This window comes from Homo sapiens, chromosome 15 (assembly GCF_000001405.40).
Source record: "Homo sapiens chromosome 15, GRCh38.p14 Primary Assembly".
NCBI lineage: Eukaryota > Metazoa > Chordata > Mammalia > Primates > Hominidae > Homo > Homo sapiens.
Genome location: NC_000015.10, coordinates 45,141,886 through 45,163,502, shown reverse-complemented (window position 1 = coordinate 45,163,502; position 21,617 = coordinate 45,141,886). Strand labels below are relative to the sequence as shown.

General features: G+C 52.6%; 1 protein-coding gene and 1 long non-coding RNA gene across 10 annotated transcripts in view; one reads left to right on the top strand and one right to left on the bottom strand.

Moving 5' to 3' along the window:
• The window catches only part of DUOX1 (dual oxidase 1), a 35,581-nt gene that overhangs the window by 2,072 nt on the left and 11,892 nt on the right, over positions 1-21,617 (bottom strand). For all 8 annotated transcript variants that reach the window (XM_047432690.1, XM_047432691.1, NM_017434.5 and 5 more), the window contains 17 exons: positions 21,391-21,528; positions 20,200-20,313; positions 19,268-19,467; positions 18,423-18,608; positions 15,845-16,070; positions 15,506-15,599; positions 15,056-15,231; positions 12,802-12,871; positions 12,255-12,380; positions 11,451-11,629; positions 10,987-11,217; positions 10,024-10,123; positions 9,503-9,552; positions 7,574-7,701; positions 2,513-2,666; positions 1,533-1,765; positions 1,126-1,284 (listed from right to left, as the gene is read on the bottom strand). In XM_047432690.1, coding sequence (XP_047288646.1) covers positions 1,126-1,284; positions 1,533-1,765; positions 2,513-2,666; positions 7,574-7,701; positions 9,503-9,552; positions 10,024-10,123; positions 10,987-11,217; positions 11,451-11,629; positions 12,255-12,380; positions 12,802-12,871; positions 15,056-15,231; positions 15,506-15,599; positions 15,845-16,070; positions 18,423-18,608; positions 19,268-19,467; positions 20,200-20,313; positions 21,391-21,528 — 2,564 coding nt within the window. The remainder of the gene's footprint in view (positions 1-1,125; positions 1,285-1,532; positions 1,766-2,512; positions 2,667-7,573; positions 7,702-9,502; positions 9,553-10,023; positions 10,124-10,986; positions 11,218-11,450; positions 11,630-12,254; positions 12,381-12,801; positions 12,872-15,055; positions 15,232-15,505; positions 15,600-15,844; positions 16,071-18,422; positions 18,609-19,267; positions 19,468-20,199; positions 20,314-21,390; positions 21,529-21,617) is intronic.
• LOC124903480 (uncharacterized) lies at positions 11,623-17,233 on the top strand. Of its 2 annotated transcripts, none has more exons than XR_007064607.1 (2): positions 11,623-12,013; positions 16,937-17,233. It is a non-coding gene; the product is annotated as an uncharacterized LOC124903480 (long non-coding RNA). The 2 variants fall into 2 exon arrangements; XR_007064606.1 differs by having other exon boundaries at positions 15,441-17,233.

Genomic DNA, 21,617 nt, shown 5'->3' with positions numbered 1-21,617 from the left:
CATCTCAGCTCAGTCTCCCTAAACCCCAGGGGTGTCCATACTGATAGAACTCTTCTGACCACAGCTAGCTTGTGCCCTTCCCTAGACAGCCTGGGGAGATGGAGTGTATGGGCCACGGGGCCAGGCTCTGAGGCCAGAGATGGAGTTGGCCCAGGGCATAGAGAGGTGGAAGTGAGAGACCCCAGGGCCATGGGAAAGATCCCTTGGTGATTGGGAGCTGATGGTCTGTGGGGTGGGAAGCAGCTTTCATGCTCAGCCTGTCCTACAGCTCCCTCCAGTGGTCCCTGGTCAGGCTGCCAGGCACCTAGTGGCTAAAGGGCATTTCACAGAGCAGCCTCAGGGAGACCCAGCAGCTGCCTGAGCAGATGGGAATGGGCTCAAAGAGATACCAGCGGGTGGAAGCTGCCCTGCGGGGAGCCCTCTGCAGCTTCCGAGGGAGGAAAGCGGGGCTGTATAGTTAAGAAGCAGAGGGCAGAGGACAGGAGGGGAGCTGTCACCCTCTGAATGCTGACAGCACATGGGCTGGGCCTCTGCCCACTGCATTCCAGCACCCCTGACTCACCTGCCAGGCCCAGAGAAACGAGCAGGGGCCTGCCACCAGGTCCAGGCTGGTGTGAAAGGACCCGTGTGAGGGCCTGAGGGTTTGAGCTGTGTTCCTGGGGCCAACCTGGCCCACCAGCCCTGCCTTGCCACCACTCCTCCTGTTCCTCTTGAGAGCTGAGCCAGTTTCACTTGTGCTCCACCCAACATGCCCTTCCCTCTCCCAGCCCAATAAGGCTCCAAGTGCTGGGCTCCTTTGTAAGAAGGAATGGGTTTCTTTACCCCCTCCAACCTTGCCTGGAGGAACTCCCAGAAGCAAATCCTATGTGGAGCACCCCTAACTGAGGGAAAGAGTCTTTGTAAACCAGGCAGGATTCTGGAGGCATCCGCAAACCAGTTCTGTCCTAAAGGGTCTAGGGATATCCTGATACCACCCCACTCACCACCCAACCCCAGGTTTCAAACCAACTTGCCCCTGCCCAGTTCAGGGAAGCCAAGAACAAAGGCAGAGGAGAAAGGCACAGATGGGTACCATGACAAGGAAGAAGGGGCCATGGGTTGGTGGGAAGTGGGGGCAGTACTCACCTTCTTACAGAACACTTGGCAGCTGACGGATGACTTGAAGACCAGGTCTTTGAGGATGGAGGCAAAAGGGGTGACCCCAATGCCCCCTCCCACTAACACTGACACCTCAAACTTATGCCACTCCTGGTGGCCCTCTCCAAATGGTCCATCAAGGTACAGCTGTAGGGAGGGGCGTGGGTTTCAGTTAAGCTTGGCCACCACCATAGATCGGAAGCCAGAAATGAGAGAAAAGGAAAGGTAGATACGTATATGGAGTGAGGGGAAGAGGAGGATTTGTGGCATTATCTGGAACAACCAGTCTCTAGATGCAGAGAGGGGAGGCACAGAGCGGGGAGTCTAGTGCTGCCGGGCCAAAGCCTTCAAAGGGGATATGGGCGCATGTGGCATGTCTGGCCAGGGTCTGGTACCTTTGGGTATCTGGCACATCTGTCACCCGTCGGGGCTGAGTAGATCTCCCTGAGGCGAGTGGTCCAGGGCCCTGCTGCCCGGATGTGCAGGCTAAGCGTGTCCTCATGGGGCGCAGAGGTCAGTGTGAAGGGGTGGTACTCGGTGGTCCCCAGAGCCAGGCAAGCGATCCGCACCCACTGCCCTGACTTGTACTCAAAGCCCTGGGGCCGCTGGAACCGCAGGTGGGTCACTCCTGGGGAGGGATGGTGGGTGAGAAGCTGCTGCCCTGAACCCAGCAACAATGTGGCCTCCAGAGAGCTCCCCACCCACAGCCTCAGCTCTGCTTCTGGAATATGACAAAGGAGGCCTCCCCCATCAGAAGCTCACCCTGTGGGGGCCCAGGCAGCACTGGGGCTGAGGGTCAGCCAGGCAAGGGGCAGCCTGGCCTGAGCTTCTCTGCTCTCTGCGATGAGAGAGGCTCAGGTCCCCTGGCAAACAGCCCTCCTTTCCTTTCCTTCCTTCCTTCCTCCCTCCCTCCCTCCCTCCTTCCTTTTTTTTTTTTTTTTTTTTTTTTTGACACAGTCTCACTCTGTTGCCAGGCTGGAGTGCAGTGGCACGATCTCAGCTCACTGCAACCTCTGCCTACCAGGTTCAACCGATTCTCCTGCCTCAGCCTCCTGAGTAGCTGGGACTACAGGTGCATGCCACCACACCCAGCTAATTTTTGTATTTTTTTTTTGTGGTAGAGACAGGGTTTCACCATGTTGGCCAGGATGGTCTCGATCTCTTGACCTCATGATCCACTTGCCTTGGCCTCCCAAAGTGCTGGGATTACAGGCGTGAGCCACTGCGCCTTGCCCCTACCAGCTCCTTTGTCCCTGCCACCCAAGGCACCTGCCAGCTCCACTGGGCCCGACCAGGAGACTGTGCGGTCTAGACTCTGCCTCTGCCCGGTCAGCTCCCTCAGTGTCACCAAGCTGATCTCCTGCCAGGCTGGTACCTGAGGGCAGCAGCTCCGCCTTCACCACGCTGATCTCCACCTTCTTCCGGCTCAGGCTCACCAGCTTGTCGCCCCCATAGATGATTGCTGGGACCAGGAAGAAGATGTGGAAACGGGGCAGCTGGATCAGGGCAAAGCTACCATGGATGATGAGCTAGATGGAGGAAAGAGCTCTGCTCAGACCTAGCGATGCCCATAGCAGAATACAGGGCCAGCTCAGGCCTTAGACCCTCCATACTTCCCCGCTGGTATATCCAGCCCCCACCTCACCACGTACCATGCTCCTTCTAGGTTGCAAAACCTCACCATTCCCAACTCCATCCTCCATAGCATTCCATGAGGAATTAGAGTATTTTCTAGATCCCTGACACCACCCTAGACCAAGTGATGTCACCTGTCACCTGGACTCATGCAGGAGCCTTCCAGTGGAAGTAGGTCTTCTACTGGTCTTGTCTCACTGTAATTCCTGTCTCTTCAAGGCAGCCAGTGTGACTTTTTAAAGTTCATTTTATCCTGTTCATCCCCAGCTTTAAAAGCTTTGGTGGCCTTCCCATTGCACTACAAGGCCTCACAAGTACTCTTGACTTCTGCCTGCCAGCCGTTCTCCCCTCCCTGTTCCTCAAACACGGCCAGTCCTTTCTGCTTAAGGATCTTTGCATCTCCTGCCTGGAATGCCCTTCTCCTGGTTCTTCCCATGGCTAGCTCCATCTCATTTTTCAGGTCTCAGTAGAAACACCACCTCCTCAGGCCTCCCCTCAGTCCTCTCTACCACATCTGCCTGTTAACTCTCTTAGTGCATGCGTTGTCATCCACAGTACTTTTGTTTTTTGGGGGTTGGGGGGACAGAGTCTCATTCTGTCACCCAGGCTGGAGTGCAATGGCATGATCTTAGCTCACTGCAACCTCCGCCTCCCAGGTTCAAGAGATTCTCCTGCCTCAGCCTCCCGAGTAGCTGGGATTACAGGCACCTGCCACCAAACCCAGATAATTTTTGTATTTTTAGTAGAGATGGGGTTTCACCATGTTGGCCAGGCTGGTCTCGAACTGACCTCGAATGATTTGCCCACCTCGGCCTCCCAAAGTGCTGAGATTACAGGTGTGAGCCACCGCGCGCGGCCAACAGTACTTTTGCTTCCTCATTCATTTACATGTTTACTGTCGTTTTCCCCACTGGACTGAAGGGGTAGGGACTGTTTGCCATTATAAGCTCCTAGCAGTTTCTGCCTGGCATATGATAGGCACACAGTAACTGTTGGGGAAAGGCGCTTCCCCAGTTTATCCTCTCCTTTTCCAGGCTAAGAATACCTAACTAGTCTCCCTTTTCCATGTAATAACTGACAAGTATCATCCAGCTCTGGTCCTTTCCCTAATAAGTTTGTCTAACATGGTCAGACACTACTTGGTCACATTCTTCCCACTTGCTTGCTCCTGAGTCTGGCTCAGTTTGACTTCTGCGTCCACCTCTCCTTAGGACCTTCCCACTGAGGGCCCAGCAGCCCCACAAATGGGTAAAATATATCTTTTCAGGCCATGTTGGCTCCTACTCTTAGAAGCCTGAGGCACTAGTGACCACCTCCTTCTCGCCACTTCTGCAACAATGCTCTACTGGTTCTCCCACTTTGGGCCACTCGCTTTCCATCTCCTCCACTGGCTTAATTCCTTCTGCCACCCCCAGTCATGGGTGTTGCCCAAGCCTGGTTTTGTCACCCTCTGCTCATCTCTTTCTATGCTCCGCCATGTGGCATGGCCTCTCAGCTGAGCCACAGCCCCTCAGTTTCAACTGCAGCTGCCACATGATCACCAGCAGCATGTCCTGCCACCACCTAATGCCCTATGGCCATCTGCAGCCAGCCCTGTCCCCTCTGCCTCCTGAATATCCTATCACCATTCCCACCTCTGCCTGTGCTCATGCCCTTCCTTTTACCTGGATTGCTCTTCAGTTTCCACTCTGCCCTGTCAAAGCTTAGCTTACCTCCCCCAGACCCTTGGCCCAAGTCCAGTCTTCTCCTCAAAGTCTTCCCTAGCCAATTTAGCCCAAGTGAAACTCCCTTCAGTGAACTCCTATAACTTACTGTTTGGAACACTCCGCTCAGCAATTAATCCTATATCAAGTGTTCATTTTGATCATTTCATGCATGTGCCACTTTTTGTCACAGCGAATCCTAAGTTCCTAAGGAAGAGATTAGAGTCTCCCCTTCTGCTGCTGGGCCCTACAGAGAGCTAGTACATAAAAGACCCTCCACAGATACACAGATAGCTGCTTTTTTTTTTTTTTTTTTTTTTTTTTTTTGAGATGGAAGTCTCGCTGTCACCCAGGCTGGAGTGCAGTGGTGTGATCTTGGCTCAATGCAACCTCCACCTCCCTGGTTCAAAAAATTCCCCTGCCTCAGCCTCCCGAGTAGCTGGGATTAGAGGCGCATGCCACCACTCCCGGCTAATTTTTTTGTAGAGACGGGGTTTCACCATGTTGGCCAGACTGGTCTCCAACTCCTGATCTCAGGTAATCCACCCGCCTCAGCCTCCCAAAATGCTGGGATTACAGGTGCGAGCCACTGCACTCGGCCAACAGATAGCTTTTAAACTGAACTCTGGTTCCCCATTCAGGCGTTCCCTTCCCCCAGCTAAGTCTTCCTAGATTCTTGAACCTTTCCCTACAAGACTAACTTAAACCTCTCTGAGCTCTTCTTTGAACTGGCTCTTTCTTCCCCAAGTTCACTGTTTCATTGTGGAGCCCACACCCACCCCTAAGGCTTTCTGAGCATCCAAACAGGCTGAGTACAATGGCAGGGTGACGTCATGCTGCTCTGTTTCTACACCCTATTTTGTGCTGGCTTTCCTTTTAAACCACAAGGCTGCTGCAGATTCCTTGTTGGCTGGTGGGATGGGGTGGTGGCTCAGCCAGCTCAGCCTCTGATGTGCTAGCCCTGCCCTCTTCTGCCTGGATCAGAAGCCTGGCCATCCTTCCCCAGGGTCTAGTCTATACTGGGGTCCTTTACTTGTAATTTATCTTTCTGCTTGAAGTCAAGTGGTCACGCCTGGGACAAGTGGGAACAAAGAGGGTGCTCTTGCCCTGATCTCCCTGAGATGAGATTGTCCCAAACTGCTGGTGAGGATAGCCTAGCATAGAGGCCTCCACCTTTCTTTTTTCCTTTTTTATTTCTTTTTTTTTTTTTAAACAGGCTGTCCATCTGTTGCCCAGGGTAGAGTGTAATGGCATGATCTCGGCTCACTGCAACCTTCACCTCCTGGGTTCAAGCGATTCTCATGCCTCAGCCTCCTGAGTAGCTAGGACTATAGGTGTGCGTCACCACACTCAGCTAATTTTTGTATTTTTAGTAGAGACGAGGTTTCGCCATGTTGACCAGGCTGGTCTTGAGCTCCTGGCCTCAGGTGATCCACCCACCTCGGCATCTCAAAGTGCTGGATTACAGATGTGAGCCACTGTGCCCGGCCACACCTTTCGAACCCCTGACTTTCCTGCTGGCAGGAAGGGTGGCTTGGAATCCTAGTGATGCCTACACCCCAGGACAAATCAGAAAGGGCTCTGGGTCTTAGGGAGCCTGCCTGGCCACTCTTCTGGATCTCTCATCTAGTTCAAAGTAGCTGCTTTATCACCAGGAACAAGAACGTCATTTCCACCCCCAACAGAAGCAGTAGCCGAGAATGCTAGGGCTCCACTCATTATTGGGAAGAGGAGGAGAGAGGGTAAATTAGTCATAGCTTCCAAAGAAAGAGATGTTTCTTAGGAAACGCATATCATCAGTTCTAGGAAACATCCTAAGCCAAGGCTAAGTAGTCATCTTCAGAACTGTGAAATGCTGAGCAACAGGCAAGATGAAACAGACCCTCCTATCTGTCAGTGAGGACAGAACTGCACCTGAGAGAAGGCAGGTCAGATGGCAGGAGCCAACCTGACCGAGGCCATGGTGCAGTTTCTCTTTGTCTCGGCACAAAGGAGAGCCCTGTATGCAGTTCTGCTGCAGGGAACAGCTGGAGCCTTGGGATTTGGTTTAGCTTCTAAGTGAGGCCCTCAGAGTACCCTTTAGGGAATTGCCTCTGCTCATGAGGAAGGCAGACAAGCAGAGCCACAACACAGGGACACAGAATCAGCTCGGGAACTAACCAGCTAGGCAGCCGATGAGAAACCCAGGGGAGGGTGAAGGGAACATGAGAAGGGAGGCAACATGGAGAGAGGGAGGCAGGAGCCAAGGTTAAGGAGAAGGAAAGGGGATAGGTAGAGTCTTAAAAATCTATTTGATTGGCCTGGCGCGGTGGCTCACGCCTGTAATCCCAGCACTTTGGGAGGCCGAGGTGGGTGGATCACGAGGTCAGGAATTCGAGACCAGCCTGGCCAACATGGTGAAACCCTGTCTCTACTAAAGATACAAAAATTAGCCAGGCATGGTGGTGCGTGCCTGTAGTCCCAGCTACTCAGGAGGCTGAGACAGGAGAATTGCTTGAACCCGGAAGGCGGTGGTTGCTGTGAGTTGAGATCATGCCATTGCACTCCAGCCTGGGCGACAGGGCGAGACTCTGTCTCAAAAAATAAAAAATAAAAATTCATTAGATCAACAATCCAACTGAAGTCATTTTGAACAAGCTTATATACTGTACAGGTGGCACTTAGCAGGTGTGACTAATGCCCCCAAAAATAGGATCAGAACAAAAGTGGCAGAACCCATTTAAGATAAGTTTCTTCAAAAAGGGTGATGCTCTCTTGGGTGCAGGTAGTCCACCCAGGAGCCAAAACCAGCCACCCAAAGTGGGGAAAGACTAGCTGGGCAGAAGTGGGGTGGAGGTGTCTGCGAGGAATGGAGATCAGTCTGGCAGGGCTGCTACTGCAAAACCCATGCCAGGGAGCCGAGCTTCCAAGTGCTGCATATTGGGGTCATCCTAATGGAGAGCCCTGTACTATCATCTCCACCTTCAAAGAGGGACGTCGAGAAGTGAAGAGGATGCTTCAAATAGCTAGAAATTGAATGAATGTCCCAGCTCTCCTTGCCTCCCTGGAAATGTCCTGCCCATACCCTCCTGGCCTGGCTCACAGCCAAAAGCCCTCACCAGGACATAGAGCAGGATGTAGAGGTGGTGGGTCAGCCAGAAGCCCCGGAAACTGCGGCGGCGGAAGTGGTGGGAGGCAAAGACATACATGATGGCCAGGATCAGGAGCAGCACAACCCCCGTGAGGCCTGCAAAATGAATATAGGGTGGAAGGCAGAAGATCAGTGCCTTGAAAGGGAACTGTTCTGGAGCTTCCAAGGTCCCCTCTCCACTCCACTGCCCAAGTTGGAGTAAGAATGTCCCAGCATTCTCCTCTGGTCCTCTCCCCCAACACCACTGATCACAGGTACCTTTCATTTCAGCAGACATTGTTCACTTTTCATAGCCCTTGTCACCATGATTTTTTTTTTTTTTTTTTTTGAGATGGAGTCTTGCTCTGTTACCCAGGCTCCCTGGAGTGCATTGGTGCAATCTCGGCTCACTGCAACCTCTGCCTCCCAGGTTCAAATGATTCTTCTGCCTCGGCCTCCTGAGTAGCTGGAACTAAAGGCATGCACCATCATGCCCAGCTAATTTTTTTTATTTTTAGTAGAGACAGGGTTCTGCCATGTTGGCCAGGCTGGTCTTGAACTCCTGGCCTCAGGTGATCCGCCCACCTTGGCCTCCCAAAGTGCTGGGAATACAGGCATGAGCCACCACACCCAGCCAATTTTTCACCAATGTCATTATTTGGTTTTTGTCTGTCACTTTCCTGACTCTCGGGTTCTCAAGAATGAGGAACAGGCTAAGCTAGTTTGCCACTGAATCCTAGTGCCTAGTGCAAGGGCCTGGCACACCGTGGGCCCTATATAAATGTGTGCTGAATGAATGGATGCAGAGGGTGTCCACTCTGGGCCCTCTGGGCCAAACAATGGAAATGACAGGCTGTACTCTCATCGAGTCAAGGTTTGGTCCTTGTCCCTGCACCACTCTTTGTTGGCTGCCACAGCACACAGCATGAGCACTGGCACTGTTAGTGACTGGCCAGGACCACACTGTCCCTGCTCATCACTAGGGTCCCCAAGTACAACCCAGAGTTGGTGGGAGGCCCCTCCTCTCACAGGGGATCCAGGCCATGGGTATACAGGGGGATAATACTGGAGCCAGGGCAGGGCAGAGAGGACAGAGAATGCTCCCTCAAGTGATCAAGGAAGAGAGGCAGAAGTTAAGAAGATTAGAGCCCTGAAGTATAAAAAAGTAAAGGTTAAGAAGGGATCTAACCAAAGCCTGTAAAGTCCTAAAAGGAGAGGAGAGCATAAACACAGCCTTATCCACTAAATCTCAGTGTGCAGGAATTAGCAAGCACCCTCTGAAGTTCAAAGCAGATCATTTTAGGATTAAAAAAAAAAAAAAAACCATGCTGTGTTTCACAGAGAGGAGCCAGTATAGAAATTATGTTACTCCAAGGAAGGAACAGACTGAAAATATAAATAGGTTCAAGAGAATTTGAATAGATTCACAGCTAATAGCTCTAAGATGGGTGATTATAGGGAGTTAGGAATATCCCCCAAACGCTCCTTTCAAGGCATACTGGGTAGGCGCCTCTGTCTGGCTTGACAAAGAGCCTGCTCCTTCCCCCATGCAGCTGGGGCACAGCACTCCTCAAAGCTACTGTTAGGGTATGTGTGTGTATTGGGGGAAGAGGTAGCCAGCCACTCCTATTCCACTGGAACTAGTCCATAGTAGGAGATATTTCTCCTCCTAACCCTACTAGAGAAGGAACTAGCCCAAAGTAGGGGCAGGAACCCAGTTGAGCTCCTGCGAGGAGGGCTGGAATGCAGAGTAGTCTAAGTCTCCTGCCCACCCAGTAGTGTCCTCAGGCCAGAGGACAGAGCCTGGGTCACCGGAAGAGCTGAGTGAGTGAACGTGGGTTGCTCTGGGGTGCAGAGAACCCAGAGCCTTGAACTCACAGTCAGGTCCAGAAATTCATGGATCAAGGAGGGTTCTCACCTGGTACGGTCTGGAAGAACCACCAGTAATACTTCTGGGGGAGCTCAGACCTGTGTGGAAGGGACAGCAAAGAGACACCTTGAGAGGAGATCTCTCTCTCTTTTTTTTTTTTTTGAGGCAGAGTCTTGCTCTGTCACCCAGGCTGGAGTGCAGTGGCATGATCTTGGCTCACTGCAACCTCCACCTCCTGGTTTCAAGCCATTCTCCTGCCTCAGCCTCCCCAGTAGCTGGGATTACAGGCACGCACCACCATGCCCAGCTAATGAGAGGAGATCTTTGGGAATTCCAGATGGGACCCTTCAGGGGAGGCACCCCAACTCAGACACCAGTCTCTCCTGCTGACTTGGCATTAGGGGCTCAGGCTGGTCACTGTCTGTCCTGTAACCTAGAAGGTGACAGTCTCCTCTGGAGCCAGATAATTTCTTTCCACCCAAAAGGAATCCTCCCCATTATACACACACACACACACACACACACACACACACACACACACACACACACACACATTCGCACTTACTCACCCATCATCATGGAAGAGGCCAGGAAAGAGGCAAGAGAGGACGCTGAGGGGGCTGATGGAGAACAGGTACACATTCACCACATGGCCCACACTGTGTAAGACTAAGGAAGAGCAGACCAAGTGGTGAGCTTGGGGCAGCCCAGGGTGGGTGCTCACTCATTCAGCCCAAGATCGAGGACCCTGGCCAGAGTGGGGGTCCCAGAGAAGTACCTTAGGAGTCTCGACTTCTGACCTCTTTTTTTTTTTTTTTTTTTTTTTTTTAGATGGAGTCTCACTCTGTCACCCAGGCTGGAGGGCAGTGGTGCGATCTCGGCTCACTGCAACCTCTGCCTCCCAGGTTCAAGCAATTCTCCTGCCTCAGCCTCCTGAGTAGCTGGGATTACCGGCATGTGCCACCACACCCAGCTGATTTTTGTATTTTTAGTAGAGACGGGGTTTCACCATGTTGGCCAGGCTGGTCTCGAACTCCTGACCTCAAGTGATCCGCCCGCCTCAGCTTCCCAAAGTGCTGGGATTAGGGGCATAAGCCGCCGCGCCGGCCTGGACTTCTGACCTCTAAACAATCACCTGGCCCTACCCAACACCCCACAGACACACCATCCATGTGCGCAACCATGTGAGTCTGAAATTACAGCATTAGAAGTTCACTCCTTTGCTTTCTCTCAGAGTCATGCTTTAAAACATAAAAATTGGGAGAATTGACACATTATGCACACTCATTCTGGGGTGTTAGTAACTTGTCAGCTGAGGCTGGTGAGGCGCCCTGGAAAGTGCGGGAAGAGGCACTTGGAAGTGACCAGCGACAGGCTCCCGGGCTTACTTCACACCCTGGCCCAGGCCAACTCCATCCTGATGGAGAAGGACATTAAAGGTAAGTGCCAGCAGAGAGGGGGGCTCTCATACGAGGGGAAGTCAGCGGGGGCGGGAGGCCCTGGAGAGCCTCCCAGGGACACCCAGGCCCTGCCTGTGAGGACGATGGCGGTGGAGGCAATGAGGCGATGGAAGTCCACGGCGGCGTCGAAGGGCACGTAGCGGTTGAGGAAGGTTTCTCGCAGGAAGGTGATGAGGTTGCGGCACATGGTGAGCAAGATGTAGGAGAACATGAAAGAGATGCTGGCTGCTGTGCCCCGCGACAGGATGATTCCCACGCGGGTGGTGTCTGTGATGCCCGTGTGATGTGCGGCAAAGGCGTAGTCTGTGGAGGGGGCCCAGGCAGGCAAGCGAGGGTCAGTGCAGAGGACAGAGAGCTGGTTAGGGGCGGTAGGCCCTGGCCGGCTGCCACTCACAACAGGCCTCCCCCGCACAGTCTTCACTCAGACAGGCTCCACTTACCCTACCCAGGGCTGGCACTTATCGCAGGCCCCACCCCCAGGGCGATCACTCATTGCAAGCCTAGGGACAGGGCTCGTGGTAAGTAAAGTCACTCACAGTAGGCCCTCTCCAGGAAAAGCCCCCCAGCGATGGCGTAGAACACGGCCACGCAGCCGATGTGGCGCCGGTAGTTCTCAATGAAGCGCTTGAACTGTTGCACCGTCTGGTGGAGACAGCTGCGTTGGAACTTCTCTCGGTGCGCCTCAGTGAACAGCAAGGGCTGGAATGACGTTACCCTGGGAGACAGGAAGCCTTAGCCTTTGGCACCCACCATGGGACCCAACGCTAGTGGGGCCCCACTTCACGGAGGTGAGCCGCCCAGAAGTGAGGGAAGCCCACTGCTTCCGAGAAAGAAACCTAGTTACCCTTGTGGAAGAAGGGTTCAGACCTCACCGCATCAGGCTATATTGCACTGCATAAGCAAGCTGGCAGTGGAGGGATGGCTTGGAGTGGTCATTTCTTCCCAGGGGATGTACTCCATCTACCTGTGTTCATTCACACTCAGTCCCTCTCCTTCCAGTCTGTAGCTCCCAACTCCCACCCGGCGCCCATATTCAGCCTTTACTAGAGACTCAAAGGACACCTCTTCCATGAAGGCATCTCTGACCTCCCTGGCAGAGGTGAGTGCTTCCTTGAGTTCCAAAGCCCTTCGCTCTTACCACTATTAGAACAGTCATCAGTGGGACATTGAAATTATCAGTGTACCAGATTCTCTTCTTAGATTGTGATGTTCTTGGGCAAGGACTATTCACCCTGCCTGTACCCACAATGTTTAGCACAGTGCCTGGCACCAAGGAAAAGATGTTTATAAGCTGAAGGAATGGATGAACTGCCTGGGCTTAAGGGGAAGAGCAGACATACTTCTTGCCAAACCTCCGCCGAATCTCCTGGGGAGGGTCTGTGTCCATGGGGCACTGCAGTCTCTGAGGTGTCAACTCAGTCTCAATGTCGCTGCGGGAACAGCGGGCACTCACTCTGGGAGAGGGACTAAGACAAGAATGGTAAGAGATAGGATGCTGGCCATCTCAACCACTCGTTCCTCTGCTATCCTGGTCTGCCTCCAAACCCATTCTGCTGAGGAAGGATCAGAGCTGTCAGCAAGGGGACAGCAGGATTCCCACAGTCACCTATAGACAGAGTCTGATCTTGGGGGTCCTCGCTAAGGCTGCTGCATATGCCTTTACCCTTCACAAGGGCATCTGGGCCAGGCCGTAAGTGAGAGCGGAAATCCAGCAGGCTTTCTGCTTGCCCTGGCACAGGGCTGTGTCTGCCTAGAGAAAGGGGTGTCCTTTTCTAATTTGTTTGAAGGTGCTGCATGGGCTAGCGGTGGCCCTGATCCCAGCCATTCAGGGGAGAGAAATGGCAACTCCCCAACTCCTCCCCCCGACATTCCCAGATGGGTGCTCACCAGATCATATCCTGGCTGATGTAGGAGGCTCGCCGGCAGAGGTCCTTGATGACTTCAGGCACCTCCACCCCTGCAAAGCAGAGCCAGGCTAGGGAGCAGCTCAGGGTCCAGAGCCCAGGAAGACCTGGCTCAAACGCACAGCACTCCTACCATCCCATGCTCAGGCACAGTAGACAGTCCCAGACCAATGGAGGCCCTGCTTTCGGGTGCTCCAACCTCAGCCCTTGTCCCCAATGGGAGCTGGACCCAGCCATAGGTGGGCAGGGAAAAGGCCTGAAAGAAAGTTGGCCAGGCAGGCTTCCCTAAAGTGTGTCCATCATCAGTCCCACTTCTGGGACTATGGGGTAGATTTCGGGAACTGTATATAACCTGCCTTCTGAGCCTGCTCTGCCATAAAAATTTGGCTTAAGATCCTCTAGCTTAAAACCTCCAAGAGCTAAATGTAGAATCTAGGTGGTAGGTATATGGGAGATCACGCTACAGTTCTTTTTACTTTTCTGTGTTTGAAAATGTTCATAATAAAATATGCAGGAGAAAAGCTCTCCCAGGAGCCACCCCATTGTTCCTGTCTAGGCTGAGCACTGAAGGCAGGGCAGGACTAAGCTGCAAAGCCAAATTCTTACAGGAGTCCTGGGAATCTCTGGGTTTCTTCCAAGTGCTGAACCAAGCCTGAAGATGACCCTGGTCTATAGTTGAGGTCAAAAGAAGATAAGCTGAACTATATTAAAATTAAATCAGAATGTTTAAAACAAAGTATTAATGCCTGTACTCTCAAATGTTCCACAAACAGCAAATGTGGTAAAATGGTAACAAATAGCATATCTAGGTGAAAAGTGAAGGAACATCTCTTTTTTTGAGACAGAGTCTCTGTCGCCCAGGTTGGAGTGCAGTGGCACAATCTTGGCTCACTACAGCCTCCGCCTCCTGGTTCAAGCGATTCTTGTGCCTCAGCCTCTGGAGTACTTGGGACTACAGGCATGTGCCACCACACCTGGGTAATTTTTGTACTTTTTTAAATAGAGATGGGGTTTCTCTATGTTGGCCAGGCTGGTCTCAAACTCCTGACCTCAAGTGATCCTCCCACTTTGGCCTCCCAAAGTGCTGGGATTACAGGCATGAGCTATTGCACCTGGCCTTTTGTTCCTTTTCTTTAGTTTTAAAATCTTTATAAAAAAAATCTGGAGTCAATAACAATTAAAAGAAAACAATACTCAGTGCTAATCTTCCTCAATCCCCAAGCCTGGTTTTACCCTCCACCCCAGGTGTTGGATGTCCCTGGGACTCTGTGGTGTGGGCTCCCTTCCATGCACCTTCGTTGCCCCTGCCCTTAGGCTCAGGTGCCTGCTGCCCTGGCTGCCTGGGAAAGGTAAAAAGCTGCAGAATCAGGAGTGCTGGGTTCCTTCTCTTCCAGCTCTCCTTACCCCCAGGGGGAAGCCCTGACCAGAGGCTCATCTGTGTCTTATCTAACTTGCCCCTCTTCCCTGTGGAGGCTGCTCAGCCTACCCCTTCTCATAATTCTGGGAGGGGCTGGGTTTGGTCTCAACATGCCCCAGTGAGAGTCCTAAGATGCAAAGATACCATAACAGCTCAGAGCAGGCCACAGACAGACCCTCCTGCCTGCTGCTTGCCCATTCCTCACTCTAACTCTAGCCCCCACCCACTTGAATCAGACACTGGTGGGGCAGGAAGTAGGGGGAAGGACAACAGAACTGGGTCTTCATGTATTCAGCAAACATTTACTGAGCACTCAGCCAGGAGATATAGTGGCAAAAAAAAACCCCAAGAGATACCACCCCACCCCCACAACCAGACATCCCAGCTGAAGGAAGTATGGCCTGGGTAGGGCTGTAACAGGGAGACAGTCTCCCCCTGCCCTGGGCACCACGCACAGGGGGCTTTGGCAGGGAGCCAGGGGAAGCAGAGTTCCAATCACCATTTCCTACCCTATCCTGACCCTACCCACCCCACCAGCAGAGCTGCATTATGACTTTCCTGGGCCCTAGGCACTTTCACCTTTTTGGGTCCTTTCCTCCATAAAAATAAAAAATAATATTTTAAAATTATATTGTATAATTATGTTGATATAAAGAAAACTACAATCCAGATTGGATACATTATTACATATTACTACATTCATTTTTTTCTTCTGATTTTAATGGAAATTAAAACATTTCTGTGGACTCCTAAAAGTATGTGGGCATTGTGCCTACTATGCCTAACCAATGAGTCAGTGCTGCCTACCAGGCTGCCCCACCTTTGACACAGAGCTGCGTGAAGCGGAGCTCGCTATTGTGGTCCCGCAGCATGAAGTGAAAATCTTCCCATGTCAGTTCCTCCTTGTCCTGGAATCCCGACTCCCGGAACATGGACTCCACCACCTCAGCCAGCTGGGCCTTGGACAGGCAGTTGTTGGAGATCTCGATGAAGGATCTGGGGTTGGGGGAGAGGAACCATCCGGCCCTGACTGGGGCCTGCGACCCAGACACAGGACACACTGACTCCATCGCACCAAGTTCTCTGTGCCCATGTGGAGGGGCCCCGACTGGCCACATCCCAAGCCCCCTGCTAGTTTGAACAGCCTCTGGTTACATGGGTAAGGAGGAGGCTTCCTTCCTTGGCCCTTCTGCTCTCTCCTTCAGGTCCCATCTATTTGCCCTGGCATCCCTGCCCTGGCCCATTCTCCTGGCTGTCCCAGAGAACAAACCTCAGCATCCTGATGAACTCATCCTTGGAAATGAGGCCATTCCCATCAAAGTCGTACATGCGGAACATAAGGCGAGACTTTTCCTCAGGAGAGCCTGGGAGAGGGAGGACTCCATAAGGAGAGCCCCCGCCTGCCTGCCTGAACCCCCAGGCTGGCCAAAAGGGGCCTCACACCAGTGTGATGACCCACTTCTGGACACAGCAAGGGTCGCTCTGCTTCCTGACCTCGGCCTGGGCACTTCTGGGCATCTGCCATGGCTGGAGACCTGGTCCCAGGGCTTCCCCATCTCCAACAGATCAGCCCCTGTCCAGCCTCTCCTATCATTCCCTCCTCCCTCACCTTTCATGAAGACCACCAGGATGTCCAGGAACTCTCGGAAGGACAGGTAGCCATTGCCATCCTTGTCAGCCAGAGAGAACATGGACTCCACAAACATGTCCTGGGGCTTGAGGCCCAGGGACTCGGCAAACTCGGCCCTGCTCAGCTCACAGGTCAGGGCCTCCCGCACCTTCTGGGAGGAGTCCAGGGGCAGGGTCCCTGCGTCGGCCTGGTTGATGTCCAGCACCTGCACTTGGGCAGAAGCAGAGGGAGGGAGAGGAGACAAGGCTTCCTTGACTTGAAGTTCAGCTGAGCCCTGTAGGAGCCACCTTTTGAGGTGTCTGCCCAGGACCCCCTCTGCTAGGAGGCCTTATGGTGGTGCCTGAGGCCATGTTTGTTCTACAGAACCCTGACCCTCTGCCTTAGCTGACTGGACAGGGAACTCACTTGGAATTAAGAAGTGTGAGGTCTGTCTTGACTTGAGCACAAGAAAGCTCAGAAAGTGTGGACCACTCTCTTCCTCCAAGTGCTCAGCCACTTAGAGATCAAGTAAGGCAAAGGCAGCCTAGGGGAGGAGTGGCCTCATTGGCTGACAGCTTTCCTTTTCTAGGTCCTTTCAGGCCAGGTTGATGTCCTCCCTTTGGAATTCCTGAGACATCTCTGTATTCTCAGAGTCAAGTGACCCTTTGTCAATGCTAGCTTATTGGGGTTTCTCTTATTTATGTGTAAAAAAAGTTTTAACTAAGACAAGGCTTCAGCTGGATTGAGGAAAAGCTGGGCTTGAGAAAGGGGAATTCTCATTGTGGCCATCCCCAGCCCACCCAGAGGCTTCCCCAGTATGAGAGAACAGACAGTGAGGAAGCAGGCAGGCCACAGGCCACAGTACCTGTCTTTCCTGCCTGTCAAGTGAGGTGCCTACTCCAAGTCTGGTGATGGTTTCATGGGGTAAACCTTACAGCTTCAAACAAGGTGCTGTAGTGGGAAGAGCCTAGGGCTGGAGGCAAGAGACCTGGGTTCATGTCCCAACTCTGTCACCTGCTTGCTGAATGACCTCATGCAAGTCTCTTCGGTTGCCTGGAATTCATTTCCTCATCTGCCCTACTTATCTCACAGGTTTATTGCGAGATCAACAAAAGTGGTTGTGTTGAAAATGTTCTGAAAGCTGAAATCATATGAGACACTGACAGCCACCCCCAGGATATATCAGCACCCTTCGTGTCTCAGCACAGGGAGTTCCCATAGCCCCGAAGGATCCTGAATGAGTGGAGATGCCCAGTCCTGCCTGGGCTCTGGGAAGGAGTCACCCAGCTGAGGGTCCCTCTGTTCTTGTACATATTCAAGTTCAACTTGTTTGTCCTCAAATGACTTTAAATCATGTTCCTGGCACAGAGTAAATGTCTGTTCAATGGATGCTTCTCTCATGAATCCTCTCCCCAACCACATGATCCTGCTTTTTCTCCTCAAACATTAATTTCTTTGCTCTTCCATGGAGCCCTCTTTTTAGTCCCTCCTGTTCCTTTCCTCTGAGCCAAAACTTGTCCAACTTTAAGTCCTTGCCAAATATCACCTCCATCATGATCTCACAGCAGGCTGAAGACTCACTGTCTTCTCTGAGCTCCCGGATTGCTGATTTCCTGAATCACTTTTGTAGCCTTCATTCTTTGCCAGTTATCTTCCTTTCTGTGCATGTTCCATCTCCCCAGTGGAAGGATAAGCTTCTTCAGTGGGAGAACCATGCTGTATTTATCTTTTTTTTTTTTTAACTGAGATGGAGTCTTACTCTGTTGCCCAGGCTGGAGTGCAGTGGTGCAATCTCGGCTCACTGCAACCTCTGCCTCCCAGGTTCAAGTGATTCTCCTGCCTCAGCCTCCCAAGTAGCTGGGATTACAGGCACCCGCCACCACACCCGGCTAATTTTTGTATTTTTAGTAGAGACGGGGTTTCACCATGTTGGCCAGGCTGGTCTCAAACCCCTGACCTCAAGTGATCCACCTGCCCCGCCTCCCAAAGTGCTAGGATTACAGGTGTGAGCCACCGCACCTGACCATATTTATCTTTATCTACCATGTTTCTCCACTCCACTACCCTGCTCCCAGGCTGCCTCTATTTTTGTGCCAGCTGTGGACTCAAGTCTCTGCATTTTTGTCTTGTTTCCCTATATCCTCCCAGTCTCTCTCAGAAGTCTGCAAGGTGGACATCAATGCCCCATGGAGGGCTCTGGCAGCTGCACTCCCCCAAGAAGGGGTGAACAATATCCCTTATGGTGCCCACGCTGCTCTGGGTCTCTGCAGCCTTTGAGGCAGGCTGAGATGAGTGAGGATGGAAAGTCTGGGCAGCCCTGAGGAGAGCGATAAGCAACACATGCAGAGAAGCCCATTCCTGGGCATCCCCCCACTGGAGCCTCGTAGTTGGAGGTGGGGTTCAGATGGGGGCAGGGGCAACTCCTTATGATAAAGTCTGGTGATTCATCCAAAATTGCAATAGACTTGATTATTAGCTGAGAACTCTGGGCTTTGACTTCCCCTCGAGTCACCCCATGGCCTCATGCAGGTAAGGACACCACCACAGCATAAGGATTGATCTGGTCCCATGTACACACCTGGGAGAAAAGGTGCCTGAAAAAGGTCTCCAGGAGGTGCCTCCGCTGCTCCCGTGTCACAGCTGCTCTCATCAGCTCCTGCTCCCGCAGCTCCCACTCCTGGATGCTCAACCCGCTCTCCTTCAGAGCTCCCCGGAGATTTTCCACCAGCGCCTGCCGCTCTTCCTCCAAGTTAAACAGCAGCACCTAAGGGGGCAGCCCGAGCAAAAGCAACCATTTGCCAAGGCCTCTTGAGGTTAGGCAGTTTATGTGGATTATGTCAGAGGGGCCACTGGGGTGGCCTTGAAAAAGGGATATTATTTCTCCTTTTACAGAAGAGGAAAGGGGCTCAGTAGGGTTAAGTGACTTGCTCATAGGTGCAGAGTTTGGATTTAAAGGCACATGTACAAAGACATTCTTCCCTCTATTCCATACTGGAGAAGGCAGAGGAGGGCAGGAAGGCCAGAGGATGGAGGGGATCATGGGCCAGGCCTCTGATTTAGCTCTCCTCCAAAATCTCTAAAAATTCACTACATCCTGAGATAAGAGGACAGGGAAGAGGGCTTTGCTTCTTCCAAGGACACCCAGCTGGGACCTGACAGGTTGTCCTTAGAAAAGGAGGAGGCAGACTGTGGTTGCAAGAGTTAGGAGGAAACCATGGAGATTATGTCATCCAGCAGACCCGGAGCAGGATAAACGTGTCCAAGTTTATCTCTCTATCAGGTACTCCACCTGGGAACAAGAAGCCAGACTCCTGCACAGTAACTATCATTTCCTGCCTCCTGACCCCATGCTTCTTCCCCTCCACCTGGCTGCCTCCCTGGCCTTGGCTGTGGACAAGGAGCCAGATGCCAGCTGAGCCATACCAGGTCATACTCCTTGGGGATCTTGAGCAGCAGAGTGCGGCGTCCACGGTTGCTGGACAGGACGAAGTTGACCTTCTGTGGAGGCTGCAGCTGGATGGTGCGGAGCACGGTGAGCCTGCCATCTACCACACGGATCTGCCCGGGCTGCAGGTACACAAGCACGGGCCGGCAGGGCTCCTTGTGGCCTTGCCATTCCAAAGCTAGGGGGAGAGAGACAGGGCTTCGTCAGCTGGGACCCATCAGAGGTACATTGGGAGGAAGAGGGCCAGCTCAGGGCTGAAATTAGATCAAGGCCTCCACAGTTCATTGTCCCCTTCTGGGGTACTGAGAGTCATTCCCTCCCTGAAAGCCTGGCTGTGCCTCTAGCCCCATGAAAAGAATAGTAACTATCATTTCCTGAATGTTTTCTATGTGCTCAATACTATACCAAGTGCTTTGCATGAATTATTTCATTTAATTATAAACCTGTGAGGTAGGTGCTATTATTATTCCTATTTTATGGATAAGAAAAAAATGGTTTAGAGAGATTCAAAAATCTGCCTAAGGCCCAATAGCCCATAGTGGTGGTGGAACCAAGATTCCAATCCCAGTCTGACTCTGGACCTTCATTAACCACTTCTCTGTTGCCTGGAGTTCCAGCGTGAGATGCTACAAATCAGCAGTTCCCAGGGATTCGTAAGTCATAGTGACCCTGTAAGATCACTACAGGGTCTTACACTTACTCCCTGTAAGGCAAGGTCCAATGACTGCTGCACATGAGAAACTCTGGAGGCTGCAGGACTCCATGTCCAACTTCTGCTTAATGCCACTGTGGCCTTGCCTACAGTCCTAGAAAAGGGAGGCCTTTTCCTTAGGCTGCTGGGGTGGAGGTGGGTAGCTGTAGCGCTGAGCCATGTCCTCCCTACCACCACCCTGGCCAGCCCTAGACCTACCTTCCATGCCTCCCACGAGCTTCTCAGACACGATGCTCTGGCGGTCCTGGCCCTGGAGCCTCTTGAAATTTCTCATCCGGAGCCGGGCAACAATCCAGGCACTGAGCAGGCTCACTGGGAGGGCAGAGGCAGAGGTTCAGGGAGACGTGGGGGTCTAGGGGATGGAAGCAGCTCCTTTCTCAGCTCCTTACCTGGCAATACCACCTATTGTCCCCACCTCCTAGGTCAGCTTGCTCAATTGTTTCAGATTGGGAAGGTCCCTGGGGGAAGCTGCTCTGCATCCCATGGGGAGCTTTGGGTAGCATCTAAGATACCCACCCTTCCTCCTCAGATTCCACCACTCACGTCCCTTCCTGGCCAGAGACTAAGTCCAGAGTCCTTGTGTCAGAGACTAGACTCACCCCACCAGGCTGCTAGCTGACCCACACACAGCCTTGCCAAAGACTAAGCCCCAAGCCCTCACTCCAGCGACTATGTCTGCCCCAGCCTGCTCTTCCTCCCTCCCTTCCTCCCTCCCTTCCTTCCTTCCTTCCTTCTTTCCTTCCTTCCATTCTCTCTCTCTCTCTTTCTTTCTTTTTTTGACAGAGTTTCGCTCTTGTTGCCCAGGCTGGAGTGCAATGGCGCGATCTAAGCTCACTGCAACCTCTGCCTCCCAGATTCAATTGATTCTCCTGCCTCAGCCTCCCGAGTAGCTGGGATTACAGGCATGCGCCACCATGCCCGGCTAATTTTGTATTTTTAGGAGAGACATGGTTTCTCCATGTTGATCAGGCTGGTCTCAAACTCCTGACCTCAGGTGATCCGCCTGCCTCGGCCTCTCAAAGTGCTGGGATTACAGGCATGAGCCACCGCGCCCCGTCTTAGCCCTTGTTCTTAAACAGGGATTTGCCTCTGACAGTCCTCTAGGCTCAGGCCTGCAAAAAGCTGTGGATTATAGATTCCCCCTGGCTCCTGACCAATGCTGGGCCCTGGGGGCAGTCCCAGGAAAACAGGGAGGCAATTCTCCCTGGAGCTGACTTCTCTGCAGGTCAAACACTTCTCTTGTCCCTTCCTCCTCTAATGTTTCATTCTCCTACCCAAAGGGACCATGCTCTGTGTGGTTTGCGTGGTTTGTTGTCATTAGTGGAACCACCCAAACTGCATCCCCTAGCTTGCATCTCTCACCCCACCCCACTCTGTCCATGATTTTACCCAAAGGGAAGCAACAGAGGGTCCCGATGGTGACCCCGAAGCCAAATCCACTGCCCTCAAAATAGTCACGAACAACAGAGGGAGCACACGCTGGCAGGCCTTCAGTGCTGAGCTGTCTCGGCTGCGGACAGGGGTCTCCTGGGAAGGCAGAGGAAGCCAGCGTCCTGGGTGCTGGGCCACAGGTGCTGGCACAGGATCACGGAGGAGGTTAGGGTGGCAGAAAGGGG